The 21,237-nt window shown below is 47.3% G+C and overlaps 1 protein-coding gene and 1 long non-coding RNA gene across 9 annotated transcripts in view, besides 1 other annotated feature; one reads left to right on the top strand and one right to left on the bottom strand.

Moving 5' to 3' along the window:
• Nucleotides 1-21,237, top strand: part of DDX19A-DT (DDX19A divergent transcript) — a 31,108-nt gene that overhangs the window by 1,054 nt on the left and 8,817 nt on the right. Inside the window, exons 2-3 of the long non-coding RNA NR_039997.1 lie at nt 3,595-3,754; nt 11,734-11,874. This is a non-coding gene — a long non-coding RNA (DDX19A divergent transcript). The remainder of the gene's footprint in view (nt 1-3,594; nt 3,755-11,733; nt 11,875-21,237) is intronic.
• DDX19B (DEAD-box helicase 19B) overlaps nt 10,389-21,237 on the bottom strand; it is a 45,539-nt gene continuing 34,690 nt past the window's right edge. For 7 of the 8 annotated variants that reach the window (NM_001257174.2, NM_001257173.2, NM_001363938.1 and 4 more), the window contains 7 exons: nt 21,007-21,109; nt 20,006-20,120; nt 16,225-16,402; nt 15,626-15,863; nt 13,810-13,972; nt 12,535-12,726; nt 10,414-12,173 (listed from right to left, as the gene is read on the bottom strand). In NM_001257174.2, coding sequence (NP_001244103.1) covers nt 12,112-12,173; nt 12,535-12,726; nt 13,810-13,972; nt 15,626-15,863; nt 16,225-16,402; nt 20,006-20,120; nt 21,007-21,109 — 1,051 coding nt within the window. In that variant the 3' untranslated portion in view covers nt 10,414-12,111. Of the gene's footprint in view, nt 12,174-12,534; nt 12,727-13,809; nt 13,973-15,625; nt 15,864-16,224; nt 16,403-20,005; nt 20,121-21,006; nt 21,110-21,237 lie in introns of all 8 variants that reach the window. The other variant, NM_007242.7, reaches the window with a different exon arrangement.
• Nucleotides 11,915-13,114: an enhancer, noted in NCBI's record as "MED14-independent group 3 enhancer chr16:70366483-70367682 (GRCh37/hg19 assembly coordinates)". NCBI's record gives its function as "activates an origin of replication core promoter dependent on BRD2, BRD4, P300/CBP and CDK7 cofactors, and independent of MED14, by STARR-seq in HCT116 cells {active_cell/tissue: HCT116}" and the evidence as "EXISTENCE:reporter gene assay evidence [ECO:0000049][PMID:35650434]".

Here is a 21,237-nt window from a genome sequence, read left to right as displayed (position 1 = left end):
ACTTCCTGGGTGATAGAATTATTCTGTATCTTGATTGGGACCTGGTTACATAGATGTGTAAATTTGTTAAGTCATGCTACTTTGTATTTCTAAACTCATGGAACCATTATTTACAGATATCACCCAGGCTGGAGTGCAGTGGCCGGGTCTTGGCTCACTGCAACCTCTGCTTCCTGGATTCAAGCGGTTCTCCTGCCTCAGCCTCCCAAGTAGCTGGGATTACAGGCACACGCCACCACGCCCAGATAATGTTTGTATTTTTAGTAGAGATGGAGTTTCACCACGTTGGCTAGGCTGGCCTTGAACTCCTGAGCTCAAGGATCTGCCTGCCTGGGCCGCCCAAAGTGCTGGGATTACAGGTGTGAGCCACAGTGCTGACCTGCTTTTTCTTTTTTATAAGCAGTTCCCAAGGAAGAATAACTGTTTTTGTTTGTTTTTTGTGACAGGGTCTTGCTCTGTCACCTAGGCTGGAATGCAGTGGCACGTTCACAGCTCACTGCAGCCTTGATCTCCCAGACTCAAGTGATCCTCGCACCTCAGCTCCCCAGCAGCTGGGAATATAGCACTTCGCCACCACCCCTGGCTAATTTTTGTGTGAGAACTTGTGCATTTAAAATATCATGGTATATAAATTATACCTTTCAATAATGTTGATTAAAAATCAAAAAAAGGGCCGGGGGCGGTGGCTCACGCCTATAACCCTAGCACTTTGGGAGGCCAAGGCTGGTGGATCACCTGAGGTCAGGAGTTCGAGACCAGCCTGGCCAACATGGCGAAACCTCACCTCTACTAAAAATACAAAAATTAGGGCCGGGCGCAGTGGCTCATGCCTATAATCCCAGCACTTTGGGAGGCCAAGGCAGGTGGATCACCTGAGGTCAGGAGATCGAGACCAGCCTGGCTAACACAGTGAAACCCTGTCTCTACTAAAAATACAAAAACAAAATTAGCTGGGCGTGGTGGCGGGTGCCTATCGTCCCAGCTACTCGGGAGGCTGAGGCAGGAGAATGGTGTGAACCCAGGAGGCAGAGCTTGCAGTGAGCTGAGATCGCGCCACTGCACTCCAGCCTGGGCAACAGAGGGAGACCCGGTCTCAAAAAAAAAAAAAAAAAAAATTAGCCAGGTGTGGTGGGGTGCGCCTGTAATCCCAGCTACTCGGGAGAGGCTGAGGCAGGAGAATCGCTTGAACTCGGTAGGCGGAGGTTGCGGGAGCCAAGATTGCCCCACTGCACTCCAGCCTGGGTGACAGAGCAAGACTCTGTCTCAAAAAATAATAATAAAAAGGAATGAAATACATGCAATAACATGGATGAGAGATTTGACATCTCATCGCGTCTCGCTCTCTTGGCCAAGATCAAGTGGAGAGATTTGACATCTCATAGACATTATATTGCATGAAAGAACCCAGGTGCAAAAAGAGTACATATTGCATGATTCCATTCATATAAGCCCAAAACAGGTATATCTAATCTATAGAGATAGAAATCAGAACAGTGGTTGCCTGGGGATGAGATAGAGTGAGTAGGATTGACTGGGAAGGGGTACAAGGGAACTTCAGGGATGATGAAAATGCTCTGTATCTTTTTTTTTTTTTTTTTTTTTGAGACGGAGTCTTGCTCTATTTCCAAGGCTGGAGTGCAGTGGCGCAATCTCAGCTCATTGCAGCCTCCACCTCCCAAGTTCAAGCGATTCTCCTGTCTCAGCCTCCTGAGTAGCTGGGACTATAGGCGCCCGCTACCAGGCCTGGCTAATTTTTTGCATTTTTAGTAGACACAGGGTTTCACCACATTGGCCACATTGGTCTCAAACTCCTGACCTCAAGTGATCCGCCTGCCTCGGCCTCCCAAAGTGCTGGGATTACAGGCATGAGCCACCACACCAGCCAAAAATGCTCTATATCTTGATTGAAGCAGTGATTATACGTGTATACAATTATCAAAACTCATGAAATTTTATACCTACTATCTTTGCGTTGTACTCTATGTAAACTATAGGTAATAGACAAAGCCATGTAATGAAAAAAATCCAACTTAAAAAATACAAGTAGTAATAAATTTATTTGTACCATTAAAAAGGAGGGTGTGAGGATTTTGTTGTTGTTGTTGGGGGAGACAGGGTCTTGCTCTGTCACTCAAGCTGGAGTGCAGTGGCACAAACAGCTCACTGCAGCCTCAAATTCCCAGGCTCAAGCCATTCTCCCACCTTGGCCTCCCAAAGTGCTGGGATTACAGGTGTGAGCCACTGAGCCAGGCCCACTTCTGTTTTTTTTTTGTTGTTGTTGTTACAGAGACAGGGCCTTGCCCTGTCACCCAGGCTGGAGTACAATGATGTGATCATAGCTTACTGTAACTTCAAACTCCTGGCCTCAAGTGATCCTCCTGCCTTGGCCTCCCAAAAGCACTGGGATTATAGGTGTGAGCCACCACACCTGGTTCTTAACACACGTTAACAGGGCAGCTTTCTCTGCAGTACCCCCCTGCTGCCAGCTAGGAATTCAGTGGTGATTAAGTTAGATATACTCACTACCCTTACTGGACTTCAAATAGAAGTGAGGACATATGTTTAACCAAGAGTCCCAAAAGCAGCATGAGGCAAATACACCCTTGTGGTTAAGAGTGTGGGCCCTGGAGCCAGACTGGGCCAAATTACTAGACCTCTCTGTGCCTGCTTCTTTATCTGTAAAATAGGAATCAACACCTTTGTTGTAAGGAGTGAATGAGAGAATCTATGTAGACCTTCAGAGGTTGCCTAAGATAATGCTGATTCAGGAAGTACAGGGCACTATGGGAGATTGTGATGAAGGAACATGCCTGGCATGGTAGCTCACACCTGTAATCCTAGCACCTTGAGAGGCCAAGGTGGGGGCGGATCACCTGAGGTCAGGAGTTCGAGACCAGCCTGGCCAACATGGTGAAACCCCCGTCTCTACTAAAAATACATAAATTAGCCGGGTATGGTGGCAGGCGCCTGTAATCCCAGCTACTCGGGAGGCTGAGGCAGGAGAATCGTTTGAACCCAGGAGGCGGAGGTTGCAGTGAGTCGAGATCATGCTGCTACACTCTAGCCTGGGCGACAGCGAGACTCAGACTCAAAAAAAAAAAAAAAAAAAAACCCTTCCCGAAGAAGTGATTGTTACCTTGGGAACAGGAAGGATTAGGAAAAATGAGATGGAAGGGAAGGACTGAGTGAAGAGGAAAGAGTTCCGTTGAGAGCCCGGGACTCGCAGCCCAGTGATGGAAGAGCAGAGGCGGAACGAGGACTTTACTCACAAAGGGCGGGGGATGCTTCTGCTCACAAGTTGTTTGGGGGCAACTTGGTGGAGCAACAAGACTCCCCCTCCAGGCTCCTCTTCCCACACAGGGTGTCCAGGTCTCCAGAGCTCTTTGCGGGAGAAGGACTTAAGGGGACAAGACTGGCCACAGATGATTTGCCTCTGGGTGGAGGAGGGGAGTGTCCTCTGCAGCATCAGAGGACTCTATTTTTAGCCGCCTCTCTCTTCCCTCATGCCCATGTTAGCAGGACTCCTAGAGGTGAACACTTTTCACCTCACCCTTAAGTCCTGGCAGTTTCTTTGAATTTTTGTTTCTGCTTTAGAGTGCAGTGGGGGAGAAAATACCGTCCTCAAGATCTGAGAAACTGGAGAGGAAAAGTCACAGGACAACCAACTTCTCTATGACATAGCCCAGCATCTGAGGAAAGTCCTGCAATAGTGGAGGTGGAGCAGAGGGTATGAGCTGGGAAGCAAATGGAGCAGGTGAGTTAAGTAGGTGCCTGATCTGGAGGGCCTCACATGCCACTTAGGAAAAATGTAAATGAGTTGGGAGTCTTCAGCAGGAGTGGGGTAATCACACTCAAAGGTGGCAGAGATCTTACTGGCTGCTGTGAGACAAAGGAACTGCAGGAAAACCTCTGGGGGCATACGCACCTGCTAGGAAGCTAGTGTAGTAGACCAGATGACCACGGCAGTGCAGACCAGGGTGAATTCAGGAAGTATTAGATTGAGGCTACACAGGGTGGCTGACACGTGTAATCCCGGCACTTTGGGAGGCCAAGGCAGAAAGATCACTTGAGGCCAGGAGTTTGAGACCACCCTGGGCAACATAGTGAGACCCCTGTCTATAAAAAACTATAAAATTAAAAAACAAACTCCAAAGTATTAAATTTTTTTTTCAGACAGAGTCTTGCTCTGTCGCCCAGGCTGGAGTGCAGTGGTGCGATCTTGGCTCACTGCAACCTCCACCTCCCGGGTTCAAGCAATTCTTGTGCCTCAGCCCCCCGAGTAGCTGGGATTACAGGCATGCGCCATCATGCCCAGCTAATTTTTGTATTTTTCATAGAGATGGGGTTTCACTATGTTGGCCAGGCTGGTCTTGAGCCAGACTTCAGGTGATCCACCCGCCTTGGCCTTCCAAAGTGCTGGGATTATAGGCATGAGCCACTGCGCCCAGCCAAAATTATTAGATTGAGCCATATAAAAGTGCTGCTGCTTAGGCCAAAAATTGCCAAACTGTGGCAATTTCATTTGGTTTTACCAAATAGATGGTAGAATTATAGGCATGAAGGATGAAGGCTGGCCACAGATACTTCATAGCTTCCCCCACCAGGAGATGAGGTTTATTTCCCCACCAGTGGGATCTGGGCTGGCCCTGTAGTTAGCCTTCACCCAAAAATGTGAGAAAAGTGGCACTGGGAGAGTTCTGACCCCAGGCCTCAACAGACCTTGCAGCTTCTGCTCTTTCCTCTTAGAAAGAGCCCAGAGACCAGATCACAAGGTCAGGAGTTCAAGACCACCCTGACCAACATGATGAAACCCCGTCTCTACTAAAAATACAAAAAATAAAATAAAATAGCTGGGCATGGTGGTGGGCACCTGTAATCCCAGCTACTAGGGAGGCTGAGGCAGGAGAAACACTTGAACTGGGGAGGCGGAGGTTGCAGTGAGCCGAGATCGCGCCACTGCACTCCAGCCTGGGCGACAGAGCGAGACTCCGTCTGGAAAAAAAAAGAGAGAAGGAGCCCAGAGACCATCCACCATCCTGTGAAGACGAAAGTCACGTGGAGAGGCCTAGCAGCCATAGCTGAGTCCAGATACTAGCTGGGGGAAGACAGCTGCTTCAGCCAGCCTGGGAGAGACCAGCAGAGCTTTCCAGACAACTCAGAATTGTGAGAAAGGCTGTTGTCTTAAGCCATTGTTTTGGGGCAATTTGCAACACAGCAGTGGATAACTGATATAAAAGGACAGCAGGGCAGGGCAGGAAGATTCATGATGAACCCCAGGCTTCTGGCTTGAGTAACAGGCTATTGCAGTACCATCTTGTGAGGGGAAGTTAGAGGAAAAGCTGAGAGCAGAGCTTGGGTTTTTTGAGTGCTTGGTAGTGGCATATGTTCAATGTTGGACATGAGGACGGGACTCATAGAAGACACCCCAAGTGCAAGTGCCATGTGTGCTTTCGTTTTCATGACGCTGGAGCTCAAGGATCAGGTCTTGGTATAGATTTGGGTGTCACCAGCAGACAAATAAAGCCATAGGAATGAACAGTGTTGCCTCTGGCAGGGAAAGAGAACCCAGAATAGAGCCATGAGGAACAGGCCCATTTAGGAGGTGAATAAAGGAGAGGTCTGCCAAGAAGACTGAAGTGGTAGAGAGAAGACCAGGAAGCAAAGTGTGCGTCACTTTCCTCCCCAGAAGAGTGGCCAGAGAAAGAGACTGTTGATAGAGTTAAATGCTGCTGAGAAGGCAAATATAACAGGGATTAAAATGTAGCTTTTAAGCTGAGTGTGGTTGCATGCATCTGTAGCCACAGCTACTAGGGAGGCTGAGGCAGGAGGATCACTTGAGCTTGGAGTTCAAGGCTGCAGTAAGCTGTGACTATGCCACTGCACTCCAGCCTGGGCAACAAAGTGAGACCCCCCCCATCTAAAAAAAAAGTGGTTTTCAGATTTCGGACCTGTAAGTCATCAGTGTCTTTCATGAAGGCTATTTCAGGGGAGTGATGGAGCAAAAGTCAAGACTGCAGAGGGATGAGGAATGAGACTCTGCATACAAGCAACCTTACAAGACTTTCTGCCATTAGGAGACAGGCTGAAAGATGAGGAATAGAGGGTTGAATTGTAAAGAGCGGTCAAGTATGAACATGTTAAAATATCAATGAGAAAGAGCTGATGGGGTGGGAGAGGTAGCAAATATAAGGGGATAGTTGACAGAGCAAGTTCTTAAAAGCCAGGAGAGGGAAGTTGGTGGATTGGCAGAAAAATGTACATATTTACATATATATATATATATATATATATATATATATATTTTTTTTTTTTTTTTAAGGCAGGGTCTCATTTTGTTACCCAAGCTGGAGTGCAATGGTGCAGTCATGGCTTACTGCAGCCTCAAACTCCTGGGATCAAGTGATCCTCCTGCCTCAGCCTCCAAAGTAGCTGGGACTACAGGCATGAGCCACCATGCCTGGCTAATTTTTAATTTTTTTTTGTAAAGATGAGGTCTCCCTGTGTCGCCCAGGCTGGTGTCAGACTCCTGGGCTCAAGGGATCCTCCTGCCTTGGCCTCCCGAGGTTGCTGAGATTAGGTGTGAGTAATTTCACTCAGCTGAGAAATTTAGATAACAGGGATACATGTCTCATTGGAACAGGAGGGAGAGGGAAGGACCGGTGCTCATGGAGGAAGTTCTGGTGGCAGAAGGTTGAGGGAGTTTCTGTATGTTAGCCATTTTCTTAGAGTAAGGAGCTTATTTGCTGACACCTGAGGGGGATGATAGGGTTGGAATTATGAGGTGAGTGAAAGTCTTGAAATAGTCAGTGAAGTGTGGGGGAGTTAAGCAGAACGGTCCATGAGACTAGAGGTACTGCACCTTTTTCTGAAGTTGTCCCTTCCATTGATGTTAAATATAAAGTCAGAGTTTTTCGAAGGTAGGGAAAGTTAAAAAAAAATCAAATGAATAAAATATTTAATTTGTTCCTCTGGCATAATCCTACTTGCTATAGAAATTAACAAACCTGGCCAGGCATGGTGGCTCACACTTGTAATCCCAGCACTTTGGGAGGCCGAGGTGAGTTGCTCGCTTGAGGCCAGGAGTTCGAGACCGGTCTGGCCAACATGGTGAAACCCCGTCCCTACTAAAAATACAAAAATTAGCCGTGTATGGTGGCTCACGCCTATACACGGCAGGCGGATCACCTGAGGTCAGAAGTTCAAGACCTTGGCCAACATGGTGAAACCCCATCTCTACTAAAAATACAAAAATTACCCGGGCATGGTGGCACCTGTGGTCCAGTAACTCAGGAGGCTGAGGCACAAGAATTGCTTGAGCCTGGGAGGCAGAGGTTGCAGAGAGCTGAGATGGCGCCACTGCACTACAGCCTGGGCAACAGAGCAAGACTCCATCTCAACAACAAGAAAAATATAAAGTGCTTGACACCAAACTTGAGATATTTCAAGAAAACTTCAACCAGTATGACCATGAGCACCTCCACCACGCCGGTTCAGAATGACTGTAGAGCTCAGCCATGGGCAATCCCAATGCACAGAATGTTAAACTTTACAACATTAGTCTTGTTAAAACAAAAATACCCAAATACCAGCAATCAAAAACATGCTGCTGTTTCTCCTACCTTCTTTTTCAGGAGATGGGGTCTTGCTCTGTTGCCCAGGTTGGAGTGCAGTGGCATGGATCATGTCTCACTGCAGCCTCAACCCCCCAGGCTCAGGCGATCCTCCCACCTCAGTCTCCTGGGTAGCTGGGACTATAGGCATGCGTCAGCATACTTGGCTAATTTTTTTATAATTTTTTATTTTTTATAGATGGGGTCTCACTATGTTGCCCAGGCTGTTCTCAAACCCTTGGCCTCGAGCAGTCCATCTGCCCTAGCCTCTCAAAGTGCTGGGATTACAGGAGTGAGCCACTGTGCCTGGCTTAATTTTCTTTTTTAAACTTTTTAAGAAACAAGATATCGCTGTTTGCCCAGAATGATCTGGAACTCCTGGCTTCCAGTGATCCTCCTGCCTCAGCCTCCCAAGTAGCTGGGATTATAGGCGTGACACTCTGCACCCAGCTCTTTCCTTCTTATACTCATTAATGATTTCTTGGTAATATGAAAACTTCATAATTAAAGTTCAATTAACCTGAATTATTATTAATTAATCTTCATGTTAATCCTCAATTCAGGTTAATCTTCAATTAAAAGAATATATCAACAATTAGTTCTTATGCATACAGCCAATGAATGACACTCAAGAAAAATAATAAAATGCATTATTTATAGATAATGAATATATCCAGAATTTTCCATTGGGCCAAACATTCCTTTTCCCAAGTTTCTCTGTTCTAGAGCAGTTTATCATTTCTTTTTTCTTTTTTTTTTTTTGAGACGGAGTCTCACTCTGTCGCCCAGGCTGGAGTGCAGTGGCGAGATCTCGGCTCACTGCAACCTCTTGCCTCCCAGGTTCAAGCAACTCTCCTGCCTCAGCCTTCCTAGTAGCTGGGATTACAGGCATGCACCACCACACCCAGCTAATTTTTGTATTTTTAGTAGAGATAGAGTTTCACCATGTTGGCCAGGCTGGTCTCAAACTCCTGACCTCAGGTGATTCGCCCGCCTTGGCATCCCAAAGTGCTGGGATTACAGGCATGAGCCACTGCACCCAGTGTTTTTTTCTCTTTTTTTTGAGTCAGAGTCTTTCTTGCTCTGTCACCCAGGCTGGAGTGCAACGGCACAATCGTAACTCACTGCAGCCTTGAACTCCTGGGCTCAGGCAATCCGCCTGCCTCAGCCTCCCCAGTAGCTGGGACTCCAGGCATGAACTACTATGCCTGGCTAATTTAAAAAAAAATTATTTTGTGGAGACAAGGTCTCACTTTGTTACCTAGGCTGGTCTTGAACTCTTGGGCTCAAGCAGTCCTCCTGCCTCAGCCTCCCAAAGTGCTGGGATTACAGGCATGAGTCAACCCACCCAGCTATCATTTCATATATAGGTACTTACTAAAATCAGTAAAAGAATCCCTAGGGACCAAAGCTCACCAAGCTCAATGCAGATTTATATCACTGTTGGCTCTAGGCTACACAAGGTCACAGACGCAGCTATGGCCCTGGGAGCTAGGCACTGGCAGGAATGAATATGGAAGGAATAAGGAAGAAATATGAGCTGTAGTAACGCTGGGGTAACATTCCAGAACCATCCACAACAGTGGGACTTACCTTTTTAAAAGACATATAATCTTTTGGGAGTCTCCCCAGGAAAATATATTTTGTTGTTGTTGTTGTTGTTTGAGACGGAGTCTCGCTCTGTTGCCCAGGCTGGAGTGCAGTGGCGCGATCTCAGCTCACTGCAAGCTCCGCCTCCCGGGTTCTGGCCATTCTCCTGCCTGAGCCTCCCAAGTAGCTGGGAATACAGGCGCCTGCCACCACGCCCGGCTAATTTTTTGTATTTTTAGTAGAGACGGGGTTTCACTGTGTTAGCCAGGCTGGTCTTGATCTCCTGACCTCAGGTGATCTGCCCGCCTCAGCCTCCCAAAGTGCTGGGATTACAGGTGTGAGTCATTGAGCCGGGCCTTTTTGTTTTGTTTTGTTTTTTGAGACAGTTTTGCTCTCGTTGCCCAGGCTGGAGTGCAACAGCGCAATCTCAGCTCACCGCAACCTCCACCTCCCAGGTTCGGCCTTCCAAAGTAACTGGGATTATAGGCATGCACCACCAAGCCCAGCTAATTTTGTATTTTTAATAGAGATAGGGTTTCTTCATGTGGGTCAGGCTGGTCTCGAACTCCCGATCTCAGGTGATCCGCCCACCTAGGCCTACCAAAGTGCTGGTATTACAGGCATGAGCCACTGCACCCAGCCAGGAAAATACATTTAAACTCAAACTACTGTATATATACTTCGTAGACTCCATGAAACCCATCCAGTGAATTCTTAGAGGTCCAAGACCCCTGATTAATAACTGTTGGCTGGGCGCGGTGGCTCACGCCTGTAATCCTGGCACTTTGGGAGGCCAAGGTGGGTGGATCACTTGAGGTCAGGAGTTCAAGACCAGCCTGGCCAACATGGTGAAACCCCCATCTCTACTAAAAATACAAAAATTAGCTGGGTGCGGTGGCGTGCACCTGTAGTCCTAGGAGGCCGAGGCAGGAGAATCGCTTGAACCTGGGAGGCAGAGGTTACAGTGAGCCGAGGTCGTGCCACGGCACTCCAGCCTGGGCAACAGAGTGAGACTCCGTTTCCAAAAAAAAAAAAAAAGAACTGTTGACCTATACTTCTACCAGATTCCCATTCCTCCTGCTGTCAAAGAGTCTGCAGCACCCCGCTTCCCACTTTCCTTCTCACACTTGGGGCTACACCAGTAGAGAGGTTGTATGTGCTTGAGAAGGTGGGAGTCTGCTCTGCCTGTGGCCTACTAAAGAGTCTATACTTCTTTAATTATTGCCCTTGTTTTTAGTATTTCAGGGTTGGTCCACAGGACTCAGGGAAGGAGAAAAAAGTATAAAAATTTCTTTTCTTATTACAAGAATTCCAAGATGTGTCAGAGTTGACCAGAAGCATAGAGAAAACTACATAGTCGAGTACCCACCAGGGGAATGTGGTAGAATTGGCAGTCTGTTGGTCTCTTTGTAATGTCAGATTAAAGAAATCACCTGGAGGCTGACATTGGCCCCTTCCCTTCCCAGGAGGCAGATCTGGCCTAAATACGGAGATGCGTACAAAGAAGACCTAGGATCACAATCGTTCTTAGCCATCAAACTCTTCTTCCAGGTCCTAGAGAAAGTGGCCACTCTATACCAAAGCCAAAGAACTGCAGAGTACTCCTCTTGGTTGGGGTTTCATATTGCTCTTGCAATTCAGTTTCCTCTCATCTTTGCTGTCATTTCGTGGGTACCAACAGCCTTGGCCAGGTGTGAGAAGTGTCCATTACTATTGTTTGCTCTGACTATCTTGCGCAAAGATGCCAAGTAAGGCTGGAGCAAAGGCCTTGGTGATACTCTTGCCTTGGACAGATAAATGGTGGTAGTGTAGCTAGTCCCTCAGTTGCACCTGTTTGTATTCCAAAGGCAGTAAACACAGATGTTCAGAAGCCCTTTATAATCAAGATGTCAAATATCTGAAATTATTCCCCAGCTCTGACAAAACTTGCCTTCTGGGTGTGGAGACAAAACAAGAATTTGTGACTACTGCTGATCACATCTAGAACTGCCTTGAGGCTGGCCATGAAGACTTGAAACCACAATTTTCACTGAGGATCTAAACCTCAGATCACATTTGTTTGGGGCTACTGTGGGGTAAGGGGATATTAAGGATGTAAAAGGGATGTTGCAAATGCTCATGAGACCAGGTTTTGTGGCACGCTAGGGCCACCACTAATTCTCCATGATGACTTCTCCACAGGACTTGCTTAAGCACAGGCACAGGACCCACCAATAATCAGATGTGCACTCTACACAGACTGCACCCACCGAGAACAGGTCACAGTCCTGTGACACAAACCCATATACACAACCGAGAGGTTGGCATTTTGGTCCATGCTTATTTAACAAATTCCCTTCTGCTGTGGGCACTAGGACAGGGGGCTGGCAATACTCAGATGAGCTGTCCCACCCCCAAGTCCAAAGCAGCAGCTCTCAGGCCTCCTCTGCTGCCTCATGCCATTCCAAACATGATGGCTGGGCTTACACACCTATCTTACTGGAAGCCTCCCTCTCTGTGTTCCCTTTCCACCACTATTCCATTACTTCCACAGGAGCTGGAGGCTGCCCCATCCACTCCAAGCCAGAGAACAAGCAGAGGCTGCCACAGGAGATCCTGGGCAAGTAATCAGCCACAGCATCTAGATTAGCATGAAGGAAACACTGGCCAAATTAAAAGATGAAACTTCCAAAAGGTAAATCTCTGTGTATTCATGCCTAATCTTCCAAGGTTGTGTAAATAATTTTTTTCTACCATCCCCCATCATTTGCATACATTTTTGTCAAGTCCAAACATAATTTGAAGTGAGGTAGGTAGTTTCTCTCTACTTGTGCCGTTGTCCTTGGGGTGATGTCGGGGCCTGTGCCCTGAACGCACTTGTCTCCTGTGCAGGGGCAGTGCCAGGGCTGGCATCAGTGGCTGGTGGAGCTTCTCAGTTGGCTATTTTCTCAATCTCGTCCAAATCATCTGTGTCCAATCTTTCTATCTTCTTATCTGGGGGAAAGATACACAGGTCTCTACCCTGCCCAGGAATGTGCCCCATCTTGGGCCACAGCAATCATTCATTCAGCCCCAAAGGCTCCGGGTGCCTAAGCAGGGGGCAGCAGGGCCCCTAGTCACTGACAGCAACAGTCAGAGCCCCACGCCCCGAAGCCCAGTCACAGGGGAGCTGTTCTTGGAGTCCCTGGGTCCTGAAGTCTCCAGGTGTGCTCCCTGAGAACTGCCATATGGTCAGAAAGGAGGGGAGTGTGCTAGGGACAGAGCCTCTCTTGGGGCTACAGAAGATCCTACCCCTTTCACCACCCCGCCCTACTTAGCAAAGGGCGCCAGGCACAGGACCCTCCCCGGGACTCACTAAAATGCTCCTGGATTCTGTTCAGGATGTTCATGCTGTGCTTGCTGTCCACCATGTTCACTGCCAGGCCCCTCTTGCCAAAGCGGCCCGTGCGCCCGATCCGGTGCAGGTAGGTCTCATTGTCAGGATTCCCGTCCTTGTCCACGGGAAGATCAAAGTTGATGACGACAGACACTTGTTCAACATCAATGCCTGCAGGAAGGAGAGTTGGAGGCTGAGAGGACTAAGGACAGGAGGCAAATCAGTCATGTGGTCCATCCATACAATGGAGCATGACTCAGCATTAAGGGAACACGGCACTAAGAGACGTGCATGACATTGAGTGCAGGAAGCCAGATCTGAAAGGCCGTGCAGTATGAGATTCAGATGATGCCCCAAAGCAAAGCTACAGGCATAGATACCAAACTAGCACGGGTCAGGGGGTGGGGTGCAGGGAGAGGTGATGAATGAGTCCCTGAGAGTTGGAGACAGAGAGAAGTAAGGACAGGAGACAAAAATCACTGTTGTCCACAGGTAAGTCAATGCATACCAACTTCGGGTAAAGGGAAAGAATTTGGGGGGCCGAGTGCGGTGGCTCATACCGGTAATCCCAGCACTTTGGGAGGCCGAGGCAGGCAGATCATCTGAGGTCAAGAGTTCAAGACTAGCCTGGCCAACACTGCAAAACCCTATCTGTACTGAAAATACAAAAATTAGCTGGGCTTGGTGGCAGGCGCCTGTAATCCCAGCTACTCGGGAGGCTGAGGCGGGAGAATCACTTAAACCTGAGAGGCGGAGGTTACAGTGAGCTGAGATTGTGCCACTGCACTCCAGCCTGGGCCATTGAGCAAGACTCTGTCTCAAAAAAATAAATAAATACATTTGGGACAGGCCAACTCTGGGAATTGGGTACAAGAGAGGGCACATACAGGCATACAGCAGAACCTGGAGGAAAAGAACAAAACTTTGGCAGGTGCCAACAAAATTATGAAATCAGTCAGTAAGCCTCTGGGAGACACAATGTTCTGGAGATGGGCATCCCTGGAAGAGCAGGCTCTGTTCTCTACCAGTCAGATGCCTGTACATTTCCTTCCACCAAGTCAGGACTCCTGGCTTCTGTGGGAGTTCTTATCACCTGAGGGAAATCCAAACAGTCTCTCCTAGAAAGGAATAGTGTCACCAACCCCACCCATCTCCCTGAGACCATCCGACTTCCCTGTGTACAAGGATTTCTGGCTCTAACTGGGCCTGGGACCCCAAGCCTGGCAGACCAGGTGGGACACGTCCTCTGCTCACCGCGGGCACACACGTTGGTGGTCACCAAAACCTTCTCTTTGCCCTCTCGGAAGCGCTCAATCACTGCAGCCCTCTGTTCCACCATCATCTCCCCACTCAGCAGAGCCACCTGGTGGCCTTCTTTTGAGAGCTCTGCTGCCAGCCAACTAGCTGTTTTGCGAGTCTGTAGTGAAAAGAATTGTTTTTTATGAAGAGACCTGTTAAAAACAAAAGGAAGACAACTGCTAAAAAGTGGCTTGCCACGATTAAAATACATGAAGGCCCTGCTAAATCCAGTTAGGAGGTTAGGCTTAAAATTTCTCAATGAAGCATGGTAGTACACACCTGTAGTCCAAGCTACACACTTGAGCCCAAGTGTTCGAGGCTGGCCTGCACAACATGGCAAGAACCCATCTCAAAAAAAAATTTTTCTTTCAAATAGAATTTTAGTCATATGATTTTTTTCTTTTTAGATAAGTTATGTAACTGCTGTTACTTTTGTATCTAGGAAGAGTGTGGCTTTAGCCAAAGATCTTCATTCCTAAATAGTCTATGTTCTTGCCAGATATGGTGGCTCGTGCCTGTAGTCTTAGGCTTTGGGAGGCTGAGGCTGGAAGATTGCTTGAGGCCAGGAGTTTGAGACCAGCCTGGACAACATAGCAAGACCCCACCTCTACAAAAATAAAAATAAAAATTAGGCTGACATGCATGGGGCACATACCTGTAGCCCTAGTAACAAGAGCCAAGGCTGCAGTGAGCTATGACCATGCCACTGTATTCTGGCCTGAATGATAGAGCAAGACCTTATCTCAAAAACAAACAAACAACATATATATTTTAAAATTTTATTTTAAATTTAAATTTTTTGAGACAGGATCTCATTCTCTTGCCCACTCTGGAGTGCACAGTCACAGCTCACTGCAGTCTCAACCTCCTGGGCTCAATCAATCCTCCCATCTGAGCCTCCCAAGCAGCTGGGACCACAGGCATGCACCACCACGCCTGGCTAATTTTTAAAATTTTTGTAGAGATGGGGTCTTGCTATGTTGTGCAAGCTGGTCTTGAACTCCTGGGCTCAAGAAGATCCCCCCACCTCAGCCTCTCAAAAGGCTGGGATTACAGGCGTGAGCCACTGTGCCCAGCCATATATATATTTTTAATGATGAGGTCTCACTATGTTGCCCATGCTGGTCTGAACTCCTGGGCTCAAGCGATCCTCCAACCTCAGCCTCTTGAGTAGCTGGGACTACAGGTACTTGCCCAGCTTATACTCTTTTTTTGTTGTTGGTTTTTTGTTTGTTTGTTTGTTTTTGTATTGAGACAGAGTTTCGCTCTTGTTACCCAGGCTGGAGTGCAATGGAGCAATCACAGCTCACTGCAACCTCCACCTCCCGGGTTCAAGCGATTCTCCTGCTTCAGCCTCCTGAGTAGCTGGGATTACAGGTGCACACCACCACGCACGGCTAATTTTTTGTATTTTTAGTAGAGATGGGGTTTCACCATGTTGGCCAGGCTGGTCTTGGTCTCCTGACCTCAGGTGATCCACCCGCCTTGGCCTCCCAAAGTGCAGGGATTACAGGCATGAGCCACCGTGCCAGCCGCCCAGCTTATATTCTTAAAAATCTAAAAATTATTTCATTGGCTGTTACTTGGGGTTTTCTCCAAGTAATCACTAAGAAGTGGAATCAAAGTCTCCCTCTTACGACTCACTAAAACCTTAGGAGAACAAACCACTTCGTTTCTTCCCATGGCACCCAGGGGCATCCAGTCCTCCTGAGCCCTGTGGGGAGCTGGCTGAGAGGGAAGGGCCAGGCCTGCCACTGCCACTGCTACTCACATGGCAGAAGATCATGGCTTGAGCAATGGTGATGGCCCCGTAGAGGTTACACAAGGCCTGGAACTTCTCGTCTCTGCTGCTGCACAGGACATAGTACTGCTTGATGGTGTCCAGGGTCTCTTCCTCACGCTTCAGTTTGATAACGTTTGGGTCTGGGACCACTTTCTGGGCAAACTTCCACACAGAGTCTTCAAAGGTGGCGGAGAAAAGCAGCATCTGGCAGTTCCTGGGCAGCATCCTGCAAGGGAAGGCCCTGGTAGGTGGCCCCAGGTGGCCCCGGGAAGCGACAGAAGCACAGCCTTCCCAGCTGGGAGGGTCTAGATGCCCAGGAAGGCTGATGGGAGAGGAGCGTCTTGGGGAGGAGGAGCAGCAGGCCTGGGATGGGGACAGGGGTTGGGGGAGAGTCCCTAGGTCTCCTTTCTCAACCCAGGCTGGGAGGGACTGTGGCCAGCGCTGACACGGAAGTGGCCCGTCAAACAAATGCTGCTGAGAGTACGAGAGCCAAGACCCAGGCAGAAGCCAGAGGAGGCATCTGAAGTGAAGGGAGAAGACACTGCAGATGGGGAATCTGAGGAGTCCCCCACCCTCGAGATCCCTACCTCTGGATGCGGATGCTCTGATCTTGGTGGCCCTGAGTGGCTATCATGACATCAGCCTCATCCAGAACAAACACCTTGATTTTCTTGGGATCAATGAACTTGAGCTTGGAGCACCAGTCCAGCACAGTCCCAGGGGTGCCAATGACAATCTGCTCACTGATCTTCTGGCCTCTTTCCACTGTGGAGACCCCAAGATGTTTTCCATGTGTGGGTATTTCTTTCTTTCTTTTTTTTTTTTTTTTTTTTTGAGACAGAGTCTCACTCTGTTGCCCAGGCTGGAGTGCAATGGCATGATCTCGACTCACTGCAACCTCTGCCGCCCAGGTTCAAGCGATTCTCCTGCCTCAGCCTCCCAAGTATCTAGGATTACAGGCACCTGCCACTGCACCTGGCTAATTTTTTTTTTTTTTGTATTTTTAGTAGAGGTGGGTTTCACTCTCTTGGCCAGGCTGGTCTTGAACTCCTGACCTGGTGATCCACCTGCCTCGGCCTCCCAAAGTGCTGGGATTACAGGCATGAGCCACCGTGCCCGGCCTCCATGGGTATTTCAAAGGCAAAGCCAGCTCTTCTCTCTGAGAAATTCTAAACCTATTATATATTTTAATGCAAATGTTTTGCTGTTTGCATTAATATATTAAGGAAAGGTTAGGATATCACTATAGCATTTAATGGACATAAAAACAGACAAAAATGCTGAAAAGGTAATGGGTACAAAAATACAATTAAAATAAGTAAGATCTAGCATTTGATAGCACAATGTGGTGACTACAGTCAACAATATATTGTACATTTAAAAATAACTAAAAGGGCCGGGCACGGTGGCTCATGCCTGTAATCCCAGCATTTTGGAAGGCTGAGGCAGGCGGATCACCTGAGGTCAGGAGTTCGAGACCAGCCTGGCCAACATGGCGAAACCCCATCTCTACTAAAAATACAAAAATTAGCTGGGTGTGGTGGTGGGCTCATGTAATCTCAGCTATTTGGGAGGCTGGGGCAGGAGAATCGCTTGAACCCAGGAGGCGGAGGTTGCAGTGAGCCGAGATCGCGCCACTGCACTCCAGCCCGGAGACAGACTGAGACTCTGTCTCAAAAAAAAAAAAAAAAAAAAAATTCAGAATTCTCTACCCTTCTAATTCGAATACAAATTGCAAAATTTTAAATGATTATCTCCCAATAAGTTTCACTGTATTATTTACTTTTCAGAACTGGCCTCAAGTTGGCATTAGGACACTGTATGCAGACTTGATTTTCATAAGGTCACATTTGTTTCAGAGATCCATAAAACTCAACCAAACCTCTAACACTTTTTTTTTTTTGAGACAGAATCTCATTCTGTCGCCCAGGCTGGAGTACAGTGGTGCAATCTCGGCTCACTGCAACCTCCCCCTCCCGGGTTCAAGCAATTCTCCTGCCTCAGCCTCCTGAGTAGCTGGGATTACAGGTGTGCACCACCATGCCCAGCTAATATTTTTGTATTTTTAGTAGAGACTGGGTTTCATCATGTTGGTCAGGCTGGTCTCGAACTCCTAACCTTACAATGATCCACCCACCTTAGGCTCCCAAAGTGCTGAGATTACAGGTATGAGCCATCATGTCCGGCCAACAACACTTTTAAAATTACTTAAATAATATTAACTGTAAAACAAACTAGTGTAGAAAAAATTAGTAACAAAAAATAATTAACAGAATAAGCCCCAGAGTCAATAGCCATAAACATTCTGGGTTTTTATTCTGCTAATGAAGATAAATAAATTAGGCAATTAAACAAATTCAGTCCTGGCCTAGTGGCTCACACCTGTAATCCCATCACTTTGAGGGGACGAGGCAGGAGGATTGCTTGAGACTTGGAGTTCTAGACCAGCTTGGGCAACATAGCAAGACACTGTCTTTACAAAAAAAAAAAAAATTTGTTTGTTTTTTTTTGTTTGTTTTGTTTTGAGACAGAGTCTTGCTCTATCGCCCAGGCTGGAGTGCAGTGGCACGATCTTGGCTCACTGCAACCTCCACCTCCCGGGTTCAAGTGATTCTCCTGCCTCAGCCTCCTGAGTAGCTGGGACGACAGGCACATGCCACCACACCTGGCTAATTTTTCTATGTTTAGTAGAGATGGGGTTTCACCATGTTGGCCAGGATGGTCTCTATCTCCTGACCTCGTGATCCACCCACCTCGGCCTGCTAAAGTGCTGGGATTACAGGCATGAGCCACCATGTTTGGCCTACAAAAAAAATTTTTAGAAAATTAGCTGGGTGTGGCCAGGCACGGTGGCTCGTGCCTGGAGTCAGAACTCCAGCCTAGGTGACCTAGCGAAACTGTCTCAAAATAAAAAAAAGAAGGCGGCCAGGCGCAGTGGCTCACGCCTGTAATCCCAGCACTTTGGGAGGCCAAGGCGGGAGGATCACGAGGTCAGCAGATAGAGACCATCCTGGCTAACACAGTGAAACCCCGTCTCTACTAAAAATACAAAAAATTAGCTGGGCGTAGTGGTGGGCGCCTGTAGTCCCAGCTACTCAGGAGGCTGAGGCAGGAGAATGGTGTGAACCCCAGAGGCAGAGCTTGCAGTGAGCCAAGACTGTGCCACTGCTCTCCAGCCTGGGCGACAGGGCGAGACTCTCTCTCAAAAAAAAAAGAAAGAAGTCTGGGCACAGTGGCTCACACCTATAATCTCAGCACTTTGGGAGGCCGAGGCAGATGGATAACCTGAGGTCAAGAGTTTGAGACCAGCCTGGCCAACGTGGTGAAACCCCATCTGTACTAAAAATACAAAATTAGCCAGCCATGGTGGCAGGCACCTGTAATCCCAGCTACTTGGGAGTCTGAGGCAGGAGAATCACTTGAACCCGGAGGGCAGAGGTTGCAGTGAGCCAAGATCATGCCACTGTACTCCAGCCTGAGTGACAGAGCAAGACTCTGTTTCTAAAATAAATAAATAAAAATAAACAAATCTAGAATGTAGAATTTTTGTTTGTTTGTTTTTTGTTTGTTTGCTTGTTTTGAGACGGAGTCTCGCTCTGTCGCCCAGGCTCGAGTGCAGTGGCGCTATTTCAGCTCACTGCTAGCTCTGCCTCCCAGGTTCACACCATTCTCCTGCCTCAGCCTCGCAAGTAGCTGGGACTACAGGTGCCCGCCACCACGCCTGGCTAATTTTTTTGTATTTTTATTAGATACGGGGTTTCACCATGATAGCTAGGATGGTCTCAATCTCCTGATCTCGTGATCTGCTGCCCGCCTCGGCCTCCCAAAGGGCTGGGATTACAGGCGTGAGCCACCGCGCCCGGCCAGAATGTAGAATATTTGAAAAGCAACTAGTCTGGTCTGTGCAAAATGTTAAATATAATAGGGAGAGAAAAAGGTAGGGGTACAATTCTAGATTGAAAGAAACAAGTACAACAACCAAACGCAACGTATAAACGCTAACTTGATCTTGGTCGAAAAACCAAACAGCTATAAAGGAAGACTTTGGGAACAGCTGGGGAGGAATAAAAATGGACTGGTATTAGTTATTCTAGGAAATCTGTTAATTTTCCTGGTTGTGATAAAAGGGTATCCATAGGTATGGCAAAGAATGTCCTCATGAGGTGCATGTCTGCAGTTTACTTTCAAATGGTTTGACAAAAATGTATACATTTATGTAAAGCAAATATGGCAAAATGTTAAGTTTTTGAATCTAGCTGGAGAACATACATGTGTTTATTGTATTATTTCAACTATTGGGTGGGTTTTGAAATATTTCAAAATAAAAAGAATTAGGTTGATGATTTAGGACCAAATTCACATACTCACATTTATTGCCTCGAACAGCATAAGCTAGCTTCAGTTCAGGGTAAAATTTGCCCATTTGTTCAATCACTTTTCCTGTTTGGAGGGCGAGCTCATACGTTGGGGAGAGACATAGACACTGGCAGGAAAAGAATGCAGAGTGCAAATTCAAGACAATAGCTCTTTTGCAAAGGGGAATTACCATTAGTACTTAGCCACTCCTCCAGCTGAAGCTGAAGGAAAGAATATGTACATTAAAATGTACACCATTTGATTCTTTAAGCTACAGAGTCATAAGCTAGAATTCTTAGGGGTCAGAACTCTGGCTGGGTAAAGACACTTGAAAACAGATACTGGCCACTGCAATACAAAAACCCACCCATGAGCAAGGATCTAAAGTTCCAATTGGCATTAGCTTTCTTTTCGTTTACTCAGAAAGCTCTCAGAACTTTCTAATGGATGGCAGTTGCTGATGAAACAGGTTTTCCTGCAAGTAAAGGAGCCAAGCCTGTAAGAAGCATCCCAGAACTGGCACACCATGGAAAAAGGAAACAGGATTTTTATTGCCATTGGAAGATATCCCGTATTATTTGTGCTCAATTTAAGGAGTTTCAGTTTGTGTAAAAAGTAATGCATAGCTTGGCTTTTATTTTATTTTTTTGAGACAGAGTTTCGTTCTTTTTGCCCAGGCTGGAGTGCAATGGTGCGATCTCAGCTCACTGCAACCTCCGCCTCCCGGGTTCAAATGATTCTCTTGCCTCAGTTTCCCAAGTAGCTGGGATTACAGGCACATGCCACCAGGCCCAGCTAATTTTTTATTTTTAGTAGAGACAGGGTTTCACCATGTTGGCCAGGCTGGTCTAGAACTCCTGACCTCAGGTGATCCGCCCACCTCGGCCTCCCAAAGTGCTGGGATTACAGGCATGAGCCACTGCACCCAGCCCATAGCTTGTCTTTTAATCCATCAAATGGAAATCCCCTTCTATCTATGCATTAGTAGAAAACCTAAATTCATAAATCCTTACCTGGGGGTATTTGTTTGCAGGTTCTACTTGGCTAAGCATGGCCAGCACGAAGGCAGCTGTTTTACCAGTACCAGACTGAGATTGGGCAATTAAGTTCTGTGGGCTGCGCAAGAAACAAACTAGTTAGGAGCTTAAATCTCAACCTTTTAGTTAACAAAGTTTAAAAAAATGAGTATTAAAAATTCATTTATAGGAGACCTTGGATTATGTAGCAGAGTTACATATGCTAGC

This window comes from Homo sapiens, chromosome 16 (assembly GCF_000001405.40).
Source record: "Homo sapiens chromosome 16, GRCh38.p14 Primary Assembly".
Lineage (NCBI taxonomy): Eukaryota > Metazoa > Chordata > Mammalia > Primates > Hominidae > Homo > Homo sapiens.
Note: the sequence above shows the minus strand (reverse complement) of the source record. Positions and strands in the feature narration are given on the sequence as shown.